Here is a 16,777-nt window from a genome sequence, read left to right on the forward strand (position 1 = left end):
AAATAACTACCTCTTTCAGGTGGTCCAATCATTTTGGTCTTTAAAATCCTTCCCAAACATTCATCTGCATGCTTTATAACTCAATCATTTCCTATCTTGGCCCTGTTTCCTCCTACTCTGAAAGACTCAGAAAAGGGAAACCAGAAGAACTGAAACCTAATGAATCTCTTTCTTACAATTAACACTTTATAAATCAACTTAAAATTGCCGTGCTTAAAGACCTGTTTTCTAATCTTTATTTCTTACTATTCCAGTGTTCCTGCCCCATTTCAAAATATAGCACCTACTGATCTGAACGTCTTCTAAAAGTACATTTCACCCCTCTTCCTAAATTTCAGGCCTGGCATCCTAAAATAGGCACTTCAGTTATTTCTTTCCTACTATTATTATTTTTTAAAGTTTTTTCCTTATAACTATTTGATGCCTGACAGGTATTAGTTATTCAAAATGCTGAATAGAACTACCTGAAATACTCTACTAATTGAGAAAGAAGCCACCCAGGTTGCAGAGAGCCATGAAGTGGCCTCTGATGAAAAGGCAGGAATTTAAGTGAGTCACCACTTGCCTGCCTCCTCTAATGTGTTCTTTCATACATCACTATTAAGTAAGCATGGCTGACCTGGAGCTCTCCGTCCCTGTCCTCTTCAAGCTGTTGGGGTTGCGGATGAGTTTGTCCAACATGTTGACAATCTGCCCAAATTTAGGCCTGTCGCTCCTCTCCTTCTGCCAGCAGTCTAGCATCAGCTGGTGGAGCGCAATGGGGCAGTCCATTGGAGGGGGTAACCGATAGCCTTCCTCAATGGCTTTAATCACCTATGGAAGACAACAGGATGGTATGTTAAGCTGCCAGGCAAGCTGCTGTTCAAGGTTCACCCTTCCGACTGGCATGTTTCTTGTGCATGAAGCTGCCAGCAAGCTGGAGCCTGGGAACAGCTCCAACTCCTTCACATGAGCCAAAGCTAGACCTGAGTATCACTGGCAACAGGAGAGGGAAGCCAGCTGTTGCACTGAGGTGTACTCTAAAGGGAAGATGCATCAATGTTCTCAAGTGGCTAGAGCCCAGTCAAATCCACAATGTGGTGTCAGTTTTGGTGACGGCCCTCAGAGATCATGTGGCCCTGCCCCCTGCCCCCTGCCTCCAGTCCCCTGCCCCGCTCCATTCTGCTATTAGCACACCTAAACACTCTTCGCAAAAGAGACTCTGACTTAGTGCCAAAGACCTCCCTTGGGAAGCAATTAATAGCTGTCTCCAAAATGGAATTTTCTTTGCCTCCTTTTAAGGCCCTGTCCTCTTACATAGACAGCCAGTGTGTCAACACCAGAGTCCAAGTCCAGACGCCCAGCCATTTTTTCTTTTGGATTACTCTACCCCTAGACACCAACTCTGAATTTCTTTCTTGGTCTCAGTTGGCTGTCAGTCGACCCTGTTAAAGGTGTTAGTAAGTAGATTTTTTTTAAAAAAGTAAAAAACAATTAAAAAAATTCCTTCTTTTGGGGCATTTACATTTTAAAGGAGACCCTCGCACATCTAAAGAAGGAAGTTATAATGGTACATGATAATTGTCTTATTGGCCAAGACCATCCAGAGTGCCCAGAGTGGTCTCCTTGCCTAGTAAGTCATAAATAACTCATTCAACAGTCTCTTTGCTAATTCTAATTTTTCTAATCTGTCTTCACAGGCATTAAATTATTTTCTTATAGCCTTTTCTCTAACATCCTCCCCCTGCTTTGGGGTATAAATTCCAAGAAAATAATATGGTAGGACATGCCAAATTTATAGAGGAGAACTACTTCACAGTTTTTTGGCTACTCATTACCTTTGTTTATGGATATCCTCTGAGATTCTGGAGGTGCTTTTATTTGTTTGGGAGTCTAAAAGTTTTATTTGCTTTAAATCACTCCATTTATTTTTCTTTCTATCAACATGATAGCTGCCAGAGAAATAAGCAGTGGTTGAGCCATCCCAATGACTTCACTGGACTCACCCTGTGGTGGGTCTATTGACTGCTCAGAAATTGGCCTTCGAAAGAAAAGAGTCTGTTGGGTCCAGGGTCCATGGATTAGTATGACTGTGATCTTTTTAATAAGAGCACCGTTTCAGTTTAACAAATCATCTTGTGATTTATTAAGCCCTCTGATCCTTTTTCTCCTATGTATTTTGCCAATATCATGTATCAGTATCACCTACTTTTCTTTGTAAAGCAGACTTCTCTATGCTGTCTTATTGAACCTTATTCTATTTGTTTCTAGCAATTACACTACGTCAGTTTGATCACCTGGGTTTCTTTTATCTTCCCAGGTGCATCGTGTTGACTCTAGACTTGATGAGAACATTTTGCACTGAATTGAGGAGAATGAAAGCAACACTGGGCTGATGCCAGCGGAACATAAATTGTTATAACCCCTCAGACTGATTAATGCTCTTTCATAAGCTCCCTATCCACTGCCAGCTTGGAAGATGGCTCATAGGTTAGCAAAGCATATTTTCTCAGTTTACTACTAAATATTTTGGGGGGCAGAGGATTAAACTAAACAAAAAACTTGCTAAGTTTGACATATTTTCAACAGTTACTTTCACTCCATTTACCATATGCCAAATTAATTCTATGCATCAAAGTAATTCCCCAGATACATTTCCTATTGATTCCTGTTCTACATAGAATCCAACACAGAGACAAATAATAGATCAATATTATTTGTGAGCAAGAAATGGCTTCAGATGCCTTTTCGTGGATAAAGCCAGAGAACTGAAAGTTCAAAACAACAGAATTCTTTATATATATATATTGTTTTTTTATATATATGTGTGTATATATATATAAAATACATATATATAAACTGCCAAAATTACAGATCTGAACATATTTAGGGTAGAAAAACTGACATCTTTAGATACTCTGCTCTTACGAACATTTGGCCATGATTTCAACGGAAGAAAAAGAAAGCTTAAGTATCGAATAATTACAGTAACTACATTTACTATTTGCTCATTTAGGTTTTTTGTCTTTGTCCCTGTGAGAGTCTCTAACCTGAATCCAAATGTGGCTACAAGAAGCTACTAGAAGCTGTCTGCACAGCATAATCACATAAACAATAGATTACATGCTATTCCCCTCCATAGTCTTCTTCCAACCTGTAATTACTATCACTTAGGCTAGCTGCTTTCTTCCCATCTGCTATGAATCTTCTGTTATAATCCACAGATAATACAGTGTGAACACTACCATTCCCCTTAATCTGGTTGGTCAGCATAGAGAATTCTTTTTGCCCCACCAGACATGGAGTGCATTTCTCTATTGCACCGAACATTTTTTTTTTTTTTTGAGACAGAGTCTCATTCTGTGGCCCAGGCTGAATTACAGTGGTGTCATCTTGGCTCACTGCAACCTCCGCCTCCCAGGTTCAAGCGATTAGCCTACCTCAGCGTCCCGAGTAGCTGGGACTACAGGCGCACACCACCACGCCCAGCAAATCTTTGTATTTTTTTTTTTTTTTTTTTTTTTTGAGACGGAGTCTTACTCTTTCGCCCAGGCTGGAGTGCAGTGGCGTGATCTCTGCTCACTGCAATCTCTGCCTCTTAGGTTCTAGCGATTCTCCTGCCTCAGCCTCCTGAGTAGCTGGGATTCCAGGCACCCACCACTATGCCCGGCTAATTTTTTGTATTTTTAGTAGAGACGGGGTTTCACCATGTTGCTCAGGCTGGTCTCGAACTCCTGACCTTGTGATCCACCCGCCTCGGCCTCCCAAAGTGCTGGGATTACAGGCGTGAGCCACAGGGCCCGGCCTGCATTGAACATTCTTTAATTGATAAGGCAACCTGCATCCCATTTCTTAAGTGCACGTGGCTCTAACTGTCAAGGCTGTGCAACTGCCTGTTGTTGGAGGAAGACAAGGCAGATGGATAGGTAACATTCCACCACAGAGAGAATTTTTGAAAAGAAGTTTCCAAAATATAATTATAACTGATAAACTGAATACCTTGCATTTGTAAACACTCTCTGATAATGGACTACCACATACATAAAAAATTAGGAAAGTTCGAAAAGTATAGGTGGCCATTTAATTTTAATATGATTCCCAATCTTACCAGAACTAATGTAAACTTTTCCAGAATTAGCTAAAACGTGTTCTAGGAAGACCCCTTGATCAATGCTTTCTTTTATTTTTTTTTCTTTCTTTCTCACTGGAGATGTTTGTAATTAAATTCTATTACTCTGGAATCTTATTAGTGTCATTATTGAATCCTTTTCTGAAATTGCAGTCATTGTGGATACTCCCTTACGAAGTAGTCCAGATGGTACATTTAAAGGGATGTGCATAATTTACCAAGGGTCATTGAGTGAAGCTTTATTTTAGAGTCCTCAAGGGGTGAGCTCTAATTACAACGATGCCAGCTTTAAAATATTCACTAGTTTTCTTTCAATAAGCCTTTCATGTCCGTTTTATCATATGTGAAATTTATTTTTTCATAATCTTTGCATTTTCTTAAAAGTCAAAGTTTAATTTTGTTTTACTCTGGTTTTGAAAGTTCACCAAGTAAAAATACTATCCCATATTTTTTATCCATGAATCTATGTGCGTATGTATCTATCTCCCATACTGTACCATGTAGGCCATTTAATTCTTGTCCTTGAAATCAATAGTCATTGGTTGTAATGTTGAACTAGCTTGCTAGATATATCTGTATTAAGAAATTTGAGTTTAATGTATCATTTCAAACCCCGTGCCCACTCCATCATACAGTAATGCAGAACTTCCTGAATCTCAATGTGAAAAAATATATTTCAGAACATAGAGACTTACATCTTGATTGGACATATCCCAATAGGGCCTCTCCCCGTACGACATCACTTCCCACATAACGATTCCATAGCTCCATACATCACTTGCTGATGTGAATTTACGATAGGCAATTGCTTCTGGCGCAGTCCACCGGATAGGAATCTTGCCACCCTGTGAACATTTGAGCCATAAGTTATTCCTTAAGTACATCACTGATGTGCCATTTTAGATTCTGAATGTAGTTCCTGCTAGCCAAGCAGGACAACAGCATTCTTGAGATAGCTCTCAAAACAATAAGACACTTGTTCATTTTAACGCAAGTCTTCCAGGTTAACACAGTTCTCTTATGTTTTCTTTACTCACAGGGAAGTGACTAAGTAATCTAATTATGTTTTTAAAGCCTACCTATTATCTGAGCTCTGCTTAAGGCAATATTCTAGAAAAAAAGAAATCTCAGGTTTTACAAAATACGTGTTATCTACGGGGTATCAGTGATATGTAGCTGACATTTGTTTGATTTTTTGTTGGATTCTCTCACCCAGGAGCACAAAGGAAGGCAATGCTTACACTGCTTCAAAAATCATGAATGAAGGAATTTAAATATGAACATTTCTATCCATCACACAAGTCTACCTCCCCTTATACAGCATGAGAAATATGTCCAATAGCTAGGGGATGATATGATAAATAGGCCTTTAGAGAAAGCCAAATAATACCAGATACTAGAGCTATTAATGACTTTAATGGAGTAAGGGCAGGATATTAGTTGTTATTAAATTAAAAAAAAAAGACTTGTAAAATGGTAAAGCAAGTGAATATTACCCAGGAAAAGTTGCAAAACACACTTTTTTTTCTGCCTCAAATGTCTTGTTTGTTTATGCTTAGGTATAAGGTATTTTCAGTCAGGTTTTCAATGTCCTAGGGTTCCACCTGGGGAAATTAATTCAAGTCTAATTCAGACCCCTGAGGTATCCCCAGGGCTATCATTTAAAAGGTTTCTTTGCTTTCTTAGGTAGGGCTACGAAACAGGACAATAAATTGTACTGGAAATTGCTTTGATACATTGCAGTAAACTCTGAAAACCCAGTGTATTGCATTCATCCTTGTTACGCACAGAAGGACACTTGTACTGCATTCCCCCCTGCTTAAATATTTGGCTAAGGTTTTATCTATGTAAATGTATCATTCTAGAAGCCTCCTTTAACTTTTCTTTCTCCAACTACTGGGAAAAAATAAAAGATCTTCAACATTCACAAAGATCTATTCTTTTCTAAACGAATGGACTTGGAATTCAAAAGAGGACAAGCATAAGAATCAAAACTGGAGCCAAAGAAATAGAATACTATACCCCCCTGCCCCCCTCCAAAAAAAGCTCAGCCAACCAACCAACAACAAAAAACCCCCATTGCTTGGGATTGCAGATGCAAAATGAAGAGTGTTAAAAGGGGAAAATGGCTGGTAACTGTCAGCTTCGTGTTGATTTTAACAGTGTCAGTGTTAATGGCCAATAACTGTTTTATGATTCTGTGTTTATTCCATTAGTATTTTATATTCAGATAGTCGAGCTAAGATAGCACAGCCATTAACTGTGTACTTAAAACTCTTCACTGTGTCCTAATCCCCGCTTATCTACCAGTGGTAAAATGAAGGCCATTAGATACTGGAAAACCTTGCATGGTATAAATGTTTTATAAATCCTGTATATACATTCTGAGATTTGGTAGCCAACCAACTAGAAACATTGCTTTGTCTCATTTAGAATAAGGATTTTTTTTAAAGAATAGAAAAAAGGCAAATACAAAACCTAAAACAACAACAAAAAAAAAAAAAGGAAGAAAGAGGCAGGAAGACAGGCAGGCAAATACAAGTGCAAAAAAATAAATAAGTGAAGCTACCTCCTGATTTTCTCAGTAATTGATCATTTGTTGTGTAAACTGATCCTTAATGCTTGCTTCTCAGCTCATTTTTATTTAAGACACCGTCTTATTGTTCATTAGCACTTTCTTCCCCCTGCCCTCCCAAAAAAAAACATAGAGGGAAAGATAATTCATTTTGCTTCTAGTTTGTGGCTGTTAATATGGTCATACATCTACAGTCAGCTTCAAAATCCCTCTTTTATTGGAAACATGGTTTAAAAATGGATGCAGGAATATGAGGAGGCTTCAAGGGATGAGAAAACTTAAAAAATAAAAAAATTACAAAGGGCTTCAATCTCAAAGTGAGAAGAGAGGAACAGTTTCACCAGAGTGAAAGCCCAGATGTCACCGATCTTTCTTACCCTGGTGGTGTAAGCTGCTTCCGGATCATCCTCAAGCACTCGGGACATGCCAAAATCAGACACTTTGCAGACCAAGTTGCTGTTCACCAGGATGTTCCGTGCGGCCAGATCACGATGCACATAGCTCATATCAGATAAATACTTCATCCCAGACCCAATGCCACGAAGCATGCCCACCAGCTGAATGACTGTAAATCTGCCATCATTTTTCTGCATAGAAAAGGAGTGAGGAACAATCTCATTAGCATTAGGCCAAGTTAATTCTCACCAAGCATTTATTACTTGAATCTTTTTGGGTATCTGTATCCGGTATGCAATGAAACTCAACATTATTTCCAGGCCTTTCTGACCAAAGTCGCTAATTCACTAGTAGACTGTACCCTAGGAGCTGGGTTTGCTTCCTGTGATAGATGGAAATTATCCAACTGTAATGAATCTACGGCTCCAACAGCTCCACATTACAGGAATAAATCAAAAACTACCCTCGTTGAACATGGATTATTTAATAGCCTTAAAAATCACATCATTCTCCATTTCTCCTCTTCTTTCTTTGCCCATTAAAAGAAATCCACGAATACCACCGAACACAACAAACACAAGGACTCTGTTAGGAGTTTTCTAAATACCAACATTCTTGGGTTTAATATAAAGTAGTCACATACCCTGAGGAATGCATCCAAGGAGCCATTCTCCATGTACTCTGTTATGATCATTACTGGTTTACCTAGAGTTTTCAGAAAGAAAAACACAAACCTTTGATGAGCGCTGCACTTAATGAGATAAAAATGGGCTGCGCACAATTTTACTGCCAAGATACCTGTCTTGTGTGATCTAATTTAATTAAAACAAGCCAAGCTTATGCCTCAGCTGTGGGGAGCTAGGAATGAAATATTAAAAGGACGAGTAGGTTTAAATTCCATCTGGATAGTTAAACCTTTGGGTGGCTTGTTGACAAGGTCTTTAACTAAAGTGGCCTCTGGTATCCAGGGAGCATATGAATGGATAATTGCTCTCTCAAGCAAAAGGGGAAAATGATAAATGGGGAGGCCTGTTTCAATGCAGAAATAATCTTTAGGATAATTAATTTATTTTGTCCTCAGAAGAGCCACTTGTAAGAAGCTAAGGAGGTCAATAGGCAATAAACTTCTTTATTTAGAGAAATCCATGTTTCAGGGAGCAGTAGCTATGTTGAATCCTTCCTTACCCAGACAAGCCTTAAAACCAAGCACGCAGGCGGGTTCGGTGGCTCATGCCTGTAATCTCAGCACTTTGGGAGGCCAAGACAGTCGGATTGCCTCAGGTCAGGAGTTCGAGACAAGCCTGGCCAACATGGTGAAACCCCGTTTCTACTAAAAATACAAAAAAAAAAAAAAAATTTGCCAAGCATGGTGGCAGGCGCCTGTAATCCCAGCTACTCAGGAGGCTGAGGCAGGAGAATTGCTTGAACTCGGGAGGCCAAGGTTGTAGTGAGCCGAGATTGCGTCATTACACTCCAGCCTGGGGGGCGACGATACAGAGACTCCGTCTCAAAAAACAAACAAAAAAACAAGCATGCGACTTCTCTCCACTGTCTTGCTCAGCTCAGGGCCTCTGTCTTTCTCTTCACTTTCCCTAGCTATGAATAAACTTGCTTTGGTCTGATTCCTTAAACTGCCTACCTCAAAAAACAAACAAACAAAAACCCCAGAACAGTCACAGGAAAGGTTCAGAAAATTATTTCATCTGAGACAGGAATTTAAATTCAATACTAGAACATCCTTATTTCCCCCATTCCCCCTACCTATTTTTTTTTTCTGCAAAGAAATAAAAATGATTTTAAGCTCTGAGCAGAATGAGGTGTAAATAAGATTTTCACAAAAGTCCGCTTTCTGAGGACTTTAGGACATAAGAACCATTCTTTACCTTCTTGATCACAGGCAATAGGCTCAAGGTCTGAAATTCCTTCTTTCTAAAGGGTATTTATTGTTGGCAAGTGGAGGGTGGGAATCATGAGGTGTTTTTTTTTGCTTTGTTTTGTTTTTTCTAAGAGCAGGATAAAACAGGTCCCTAAAATATTCCTTTGGAAGAAAATAAAATGTCAGTTTGATATACCAAAAATATTCACACTGGCAGGGCACGGTGGCTCACACCTGCAATTCCAGCACTTTGGGAGGCCGAGGCAGGTGGGTCACTTGAGGCAAGGGGTTTGAGACCAGCCTAGCCAACATGGTGAAACCTCGTGTCTACTAAAAATACAAAAATTTGCCGGGTGCAGTACGCACTTGCAGTCCCAGCTTCTCGGGAGGCTGAGACAAGAGAATCACTTGAGCCCAGGAGGCAGAGGTTGCAGTGAGCCGAGATCATGCCACTGCACTGAAGCCTGGGTGACAGAGTGAGAGTCATTCTAAAAAAATAAAAATAAAAAAAATCACACTTTTTATTGCTGCATTGGCTGATTATTTAGACTTCAGTCTAGAAAAATGGGCTGAACTATTTCACCGCTGAAAAGCACCCATAATTATTCTAAAGAAATACATTTTCCACCCAGTGATTCCATCAGCTTATAATTTCTGGCATATAGGGCATGGGGAAATTTTTCACCTTAGGGGCAAAAGTGTTGAAGAGTGGGTTTTTAATTCCATGAAGTCCAATATATCAATTTGTGATATTTCTTGATTGCTTGAGTTTTTGGTGTTGTGTCTAAGAAATTACTCAGAGGCAAACACTTTTGCATTAGAAAATGGTACCATGGACATTTTATTTTCAAGTGAGGAAAGAAGGCTGGTAGAAAAAGTGGGAATCTTGGTGCAGACCAAAGGTGCATAAAACCACTTTTAAGTCTTTTCTCTACGCTGGCAGGGGTGTGTCTGCACATTCTCTATCAATACAAATAGGAAATGCTTAGTTCTCAGATTCATTTACCCTCTACATATGTGACCAGGGTTTTCTACTCAAAAAAAAAAAAAAAAATTGCCGGATGCAGTGGTGCACACCTGTAGTCCCAGCTACTCGGGAGGCTGAGACAGGAGAATCACTTGAGCCCAGGAGGCGGAGGTTACAGTGAGCCAAGATCGTGCCACTGCACTCAAGCCTGGGTGAATTTCTTTTCTTTTCTTTTTTTTTTTTAAGAGACAGGGTCTGGCTCTGTGGCCCAAGCTAGAGTACAGTGACATGATCATAACTCACTGCAGCCTTGAACTCCTGGGCTCAAGGGATCCTCCTGCCTCAGCCTCTTGAGTAGCTGGGATTCCAGGCACTAGCCACCGAGCCCAGCTTGTGACCATAGTCTTCTGACAGAACAAATGTGCCTAAATGAGTTTTAATCAACCTGCCTCAATCAAAAGATACTTTGTCAACTAACGAGAAAGGGCAGCCTCTCATGGCTGTGCATTAACACCTCCTTGCATTTCACCAGATCCCTCTGGAGCTGTGGAGACGACAGGAGAGGATCCAAAAGTGAGGGTCATGCGGAGAATTTATGGTCCTCCTGCCAATTTAAAAAGTTACTCAAGTAACTGCTGGTAATGAATTCACACGCTTCCACTCTACCCTTTCACCCTCACACCTCCCTAGTCGGACTCTTGGCACCATCTTCACAAATTTTCTGCATTCCATTTTCTGTTTATTAAAAGTATCCATTTGTCAGATCCTTTATGAGCTCTACAAGGGAAACAAAGATGAATGTCTCCATAAGCAAAGGGGCTTATAAAATAGGCCTGGGCTGGGCTCTTGGATAGAGGAGTCTCCTTCCCTGCAGTAGGCAGGGATGCAGTGGGGAGGAAAGGGGTGGGGGAAGGGAATAGCTTCTCCAATAGAAATTTTAAATCATTTTAATTCAGTGACAACTGCATTATGCAAATGCATCCAGTCGTTTATAACAGTTACAGCTGTAATAGCTACGTGTTTTAGAGGCGCGGTGGGACTTTAATACAAAGATCCCCTGTTTCTTCTCTCTTCTGCAGAGGTGCTAGGAAAATCACTGTCTGCGACAGGAAAAACACCCTAAGCTGAACAGAGCCTCCTTTTTAGAAAACGGACCTGCAAAAGTATTTAAAGGGAATGTTATCTTTTAATTAAAGTAGTGAAGGGCTCTGGGCGGCCCTGAAGGCCACAGGCAACAGAAAAATATCCTGTCTGTAAAACTAATCTCAAAAAGCAAATAGAGCTATTCTATGCTAATTATAGCCTTCACCTTATGCGGAAAATTATATATCCTTCTCACCAAGGTTCCTTTTTTTTTTTTTTTGAAAGATTCTGAAGATGGGGAAAGATGTACCTACTTCTTAAGACATAATAGCACCACTGAACACGTACGAGGTTTTTTCTGAAAAAATTTGCTATTGTGGTAACCACTCTAAGTATTCTATTTCATCCCCAAAATAACCTTATAAGGCAAATGCTCTTTTTACCTCCATTTTACAGATGAGAAAACTGAAAGAGAAAGATTGAACAAGTAGTCCAAGGTCACAAGCTTTAGAAGCAGCAGAGGTGGTATGCGGTCGTTTGTCCCCAGGCCAATGGTTCTCAAAGCGTGATTCCCATACCAGCAGCATTGGCTTCACCTGTGGTGAGCTCTCTTGCACTCCAAACTTACGGGCCGCACACCACCTGCTGAATCAAACCTCTGAGCAGGAGGCCCAAGAAACTGTCCTAACAAGCTTTCCAGAAGATTCTTATGTTTGAGGACCCCTGAACTGTATAGTGTGTACTTTCTCTCCCATTTTAGTAACCACCTCATTTCTTCTTCCTAAAGATTTTGTACTTTGTGTCCTACTAGCCACCTGCCCCAGGCCTAATGTCTCATTTTTTCTTTTCTTTTCTTTTTTTTTTTTTTTTTAAGTAGAGACAGGTTTCTATTAAAAAAATAGAGTCCAGGTGCCTCTGTCACCTGGACTGGGGTGCAGTGGTACTATCGTAGCTCACTAGGAATGATATGGACAGGCGGCAGGGAAATACTGGGTAGAAGAGGGTGGTTCCCTGCAAAGGCCCCACCTTCAACACTGGAAACCGTGGGCATTACCTTAGGAATAGTCAAACTCCAGGGGAAGATTATCTTCCTATTCCTTCCCCTTTCCAGCTCCCCATCCCGCTGAGAGCCACCTCCATCACCCAATAAAACCTACACATTCACCATCCTTCAAGTCCATGTGACCTGATTCTTCCTGGACACCAGACAGGAACCCAGGTACCAAGACGGGAGGGTGAAAAAGGCTGTCACCCCGACTCTCCACTGAGCTGGTTAACACTTAGCCATCCGTGGATGACAACTGCTAAAAGAGCATTATTTGTAACATACACCTGGGGCTCCAGAGGTCACTGGCAACCACTCGCCCAGGCTCCTGCAGGTGCTAAACTGTGTGCTCCCCCTCCTACAAGAAGTTTGAGCTCGGTGGCCAAGCAAAACAAGTCACACCCCATTACAAGTCCCACGAGGGGTCCAGGAAACTTACCCATCTCAACTGCAGCCTCAAACTCCTGGGCTCAAGTGATCCTCCTGCCTCAGCCTCCTAAGTAGCTAAGACTACAGGTATGAGTGATTACACCCAGCATCAGTTTTTCTCTTTAACCTACCCTCCTCCGACTGCTCCCCCACACTGGGGTGGCTATATTGCCATTACTCTGCACACGCTGACTGAAGATGCTTTCCACAGACACCTTGAATCAAAGAAGAAAAGCCTTGGCTTTCCAGGGGACACAGCCCCAGGCTTATGAGATCCTTGACTTGTAGTAACTGTAGTGTGTATGAGGGCTCTTGGAACACAGCCACCTTAAACAGGGACTGCCTCAGCTGTGCTGTCTATGTGGCACTTTATAAGTTGGTCTTAGCCAGCCTTACAGATTTACTCAGGATTTGCTTCACAAAATGCATCTGTTGAGCTGTGTCGCATTTTAACTGAAGCGTGGTTCATAGGCTCAGCGAATGCTAATGGACTAAAAAAGGAAAGTTCAACCAGGTGTTACTGTAAATAGGTGCTGAACTGCAACAGCCATAAATCAGGCAGAGCAGACAAGCAAATCCCGCAATATATTCAAGATTCCCAAGCTTCACTCTCTGCATCTGGAACCAAAGATTCCAGCACAAGGTGTGGCCAGGTTTTGTTGTGCTTTATAGGAAAAGTACTTAAATTTTATTTTGCTTACCATCTGCTTGAGCCCACCCTATGACAATCAGTTTGGCCTAGCAAATATCTGAAGGATGGCATGGCATACCACAAATCTGCAATATTAATTTCTCTAAAATCTCACACAAGCTGCCTTGGAGATAGGGTATCCAGCCAAAACCAAAGACCCATTTAGAGCTGACTACAAGATTAATGACTTGTCCTGCACTGATTTCCTCCTATTAGCAATCAGTGGGTCTGCGCCATCTGTCATTTCCCTGGAAAGAAAATGTGTGTTTAATTTCCCAGTAACTTCTAGCTTGGCTTTGTAAAGGGGGTGACCCACGTACATTTAGTGACCACGCCTTCCAAGTGAATGATGTTCGGATGGTCAAACTGTCCCATGATGCTGGCCTCACTCAGGAAGTCTCTCCTCTGTTTGTCTGTATAACCAGCTTTCAGAGTCTTGATAGCCACACAGATCTCTCTCTTGCCAGGCACTTTGAGACGCCCACTGCATACCTCACCAAATTCACCTTTGAGAGAGAAAAAGAATCTACGATGGACCAGAAACACATTCAAGATGAAAGAATAACAGCTAACATTCCTTGAGTGCTTGTTACACGCCAGGCTGTTTGCTAGTGCTTTGCATAGATTATTTCACAAAATCCTCCATGCAACCCTGAAGTAGATGCTACTATTAGCCCCATTTTATTAGAGAAAACTAAGGCTTAATGCAAAAAACCTACACAAAATCTTAGTTAGTAAGAAACAGAGTAAATCTTTTGAATGCAATCAATCTGATTTCAGATTGCATTAAGTTTCTCTCTAAGAATAAAATCAAAATTTGTACTAGAGTTCTTTATAACACATGATATTTTATACTCAAAAAAGGAAATTTCATGTATATACACACATATAATATACTCACAAAAGCATTTATGTAATCCACACACATATTTAACATCCACCAAGAAAACAGACTCATTAGCAGACGGACACTCAGACACTTACCAACTCCTATAACTTTTTCAATCTTAATGCAGGATGCGTCAATTTCTTTGGCAAACTCTCGCACTGCTTGGTTGGGATCTTCGTACGTAAAGGGGTCCACATATGTTCTTACACCTGAGTGATAAACATGATAAGTTGGCTGAATACTTCTAAGGAACCACTAATAAACATAAATAGTCTGGGTCTAAAATTACCAAACATAGGAAAAGTCAAGTTAGCTGTACGGTCTTGACATATGAAAATGGTTAAATTCTTGCTCTGGTTTTCATTAGTGGGTAAACAAAATATTGTTAGCTACTTAAGAGGCTGCAGCTTTACTGACTTCCTGGAATGTCTTCACACTTCAAGGACAAGATTTTTAAAACAACCCATCCCATGGAGGAAATTTGAATTGTGTTAGCTAAATACTATTGTCCCAAGCAGTTGCTCATAGCTCCCTTGCCTTTGCATGAAGTCCTACCCACTACTTTCAGTTATCCTCCCTTAGGGAAGGAAATAGAAGCATTTTAATTTCAAACAGCTCTTTCCACATGGTGTCACATTTTGCCCAATATCTGGATGAATTAAATATGTGACCAACAATTAACAAAATTAGATTAAACCTAAGTTAAAGTAGACAATAAGGTTAATATCAGCTAGTTGATTTGAGAATACAGACTCTGTAGTGGACCTCACTTCTTTTCTGGTTTGGAAAGAAGGTGTCATAAGCTAAGATATTCAAGTTTGCCAGAAAGTTTCAGCTGGAGATAAGCATTGTAGCCTAGACATCAGGAAGTATGATTCAGCCATATCTCATACTACCCATAAACTAAATTTAGATGTGTTTGCCGGCAGCCCAGTGACAGATATCTGGGCCAAGAGGCAGAAGTCATTGTAAAAAGCTTTGTCCTGGCACTTGCACCTCTCCCTCCTGGAGCTGTTGGGGCACTGGGGCACAGAGGGTATGAAGGACACCAGTTGGCCCAGTCCCTTCGACTTTCCAAGCCTGTAGGTCTTGTCCTCATCCCAGCACCATTGGTTAGGAATAAGCTCCTTAAATTGGCAATTTCTTGCTACTTCTTTTTAATAGATCAGCTTTTTAAAAAAACATATATTCCATGTAAAAATTTAAAAAACATGATTTTAGGAGGAAACGAGGTGAATAAATGGAAAGTTGTTAGACACTTCATATCCCTCATCACTTTATATGCTATAGCCAAGAAAATCTTCAAGATGAGTCTTGTTATTCCCAGTCCCTCTCTTTTTTTCTATCTTTTTTTTTTTTTTTTTTTTTTTTTTTTCTGGAGACAGAGTCTGGCTGTGTCGCTCAGGCTGGAGTACAGTGGTAGGATCTTGGTTCACTGCAACCTCCGCCTCCTGGGTTCAAGCAATTCTCGTGCCTCAGCCTCCTGAGTATCTGGGATTACAGGCGTGCATTATCATGCCTGGCTAATTTAGTTATTTTTTGTAGAGACGGAGTTTTGCCATGTTGGCTAGGCTGGTCTCGAACTCCAGATCTCAAGTGATCTGCCCTCCTTGGCCTCCCAAAGTGCTAGGATTACAGGCATAAGCCACTGTGCCCGGCCAATCTTTCTTCTATCTTTCTGCACTAATATGTGAGTGACTTGTTACATGAGGCTATCTAAATATAAATAAGTTAAATTTAAAAATCACTTTCTCAGTCATATTAGCTACATTTCAAGTATTCAATAGCTTGTGTGGCTATTGGCTTACATTTTGGACAGTGCAGATATAGAACAATGTTATCTCAGAAAGTTCTAGTGGACAGCTCTCCTGGATAGTCACCAACCACTGTCCATTTAAAAGTCTTCTACTGGCTGGGTGCGGTGGCTCACACCTGTAATCCCAGCGCTTTGGGAGGCCGAGGCGGGCGGATCACGAGGTCAGGAGATGGAGACCATCCTGGCTAACACGGTGAAATCCCATCTCTACTAAAAGTACAAAAAAATTAGCCGGGGGTCGTGGCGGGTGCCTGTAATCCCAGCTACTCAGGAGGCTGAGGTGGGAGAATGGTGTGAACCAGGGAGGCGGAGCTTGCAGTGAGCCAAGATCATGCCAGTGCACTCCAGCCTGGCCGACAGAGCAAGACTCCGTCAGAAAAAAAAAAAAAAAAAAAAGTCTTCTACCTTGCTTAAGTCACTCTAGAGCCACTTTTAATGTCTTCTTTGACCTCTTTGGAACATCAAAATTAGAATCCACTAAAAATTTATTGACAGTCACTAATTCTATATCACATATAGCCATTCCCTGGGAAGTAGCAATTACTGTTACATTTCTTATTCTTTTCCTCCTCCTCAAATTTCCAGCTTAGATTAAAAAAAATACCCATTTAATTTTGCCACCCAGCTACAACAATGAGCCAGCTAGACTGATAACTTTCTTAGGGTAGAGGATAAAATAAGAAAAAGTAAAAATCTAAAGAAACTTCTCTACCTCATCCCACATCTTTAATCTCACCATCCAAATCACCCATTTCAGTTTGATACCTAGGAAGTACATTATTGGGATAAGGAATAAATATATTATATTATATAACATTAATAGCCACGTAAATATTATTTGAACATGTTTAAACTAGAAAACGTGTGACATGCTCTAAAAATAGAATTTTTTAATCCAATTT

At 40.6% G+C, this 16,777-nt stretch overlaps 1 protein-coding gene across 4 annotated transcripts in view; it reads right to left on the reverse strand.

Annotated features, from left to right (window-relative positions):
- The window catches only part of EPHA4 (EPH receptor A4), a 156,176-nt gene that overhangs the window by 11,312 nt on the left and 128,087 nt on the right, over nucleotides 1-16,777 (reverse strand). For all 4 annotated transcript variants that reach the window (NM_001304536.2, NM_001304537.2, NM_004438.5 and 1 more), the window contains 6 exons: nucleotides 14,155-14,268; nucleotides 13,491-13,676; nucleotides 7,723-7,784; nucleotides 7,061-7,270; nucleotides 4,804-4,953; nucleotides 620-813 (listed from right to left, as the gene is read on the reverse strand). In NM_001304536.2, the coding sequence (NP_001291465.1) occupies nucleotides 620-813; nucleotides 4,804-4,953; nucleotides 7,061-7,270; nucleotides 7,723-7,784; nucleotides 13,491-13,676; nucleotides 14,155-14,268 (916 nt within the window). The remainder of the gene's footprint in view (nucleotides 1-619; nucleotides 814-4,803; nucleotides 4,954-7,060; nucleotides 7,271-7,722; nucleotides 7,785-13,490; nucleotides 13,677-14,154; nucleotides 14,269-16,777) is intronic.

This window comes from Homo sapiens, chromosome 2, assembly GCF_000001405.40.
Source record: "Homo sapiens chromosome 2, GRCh38.p14 Primary Assembly".
NCBI lineage: Eukaryota > Metazoa > Chordata > Mammalia > Primates > Hominidae > Homo > Homo sapiens.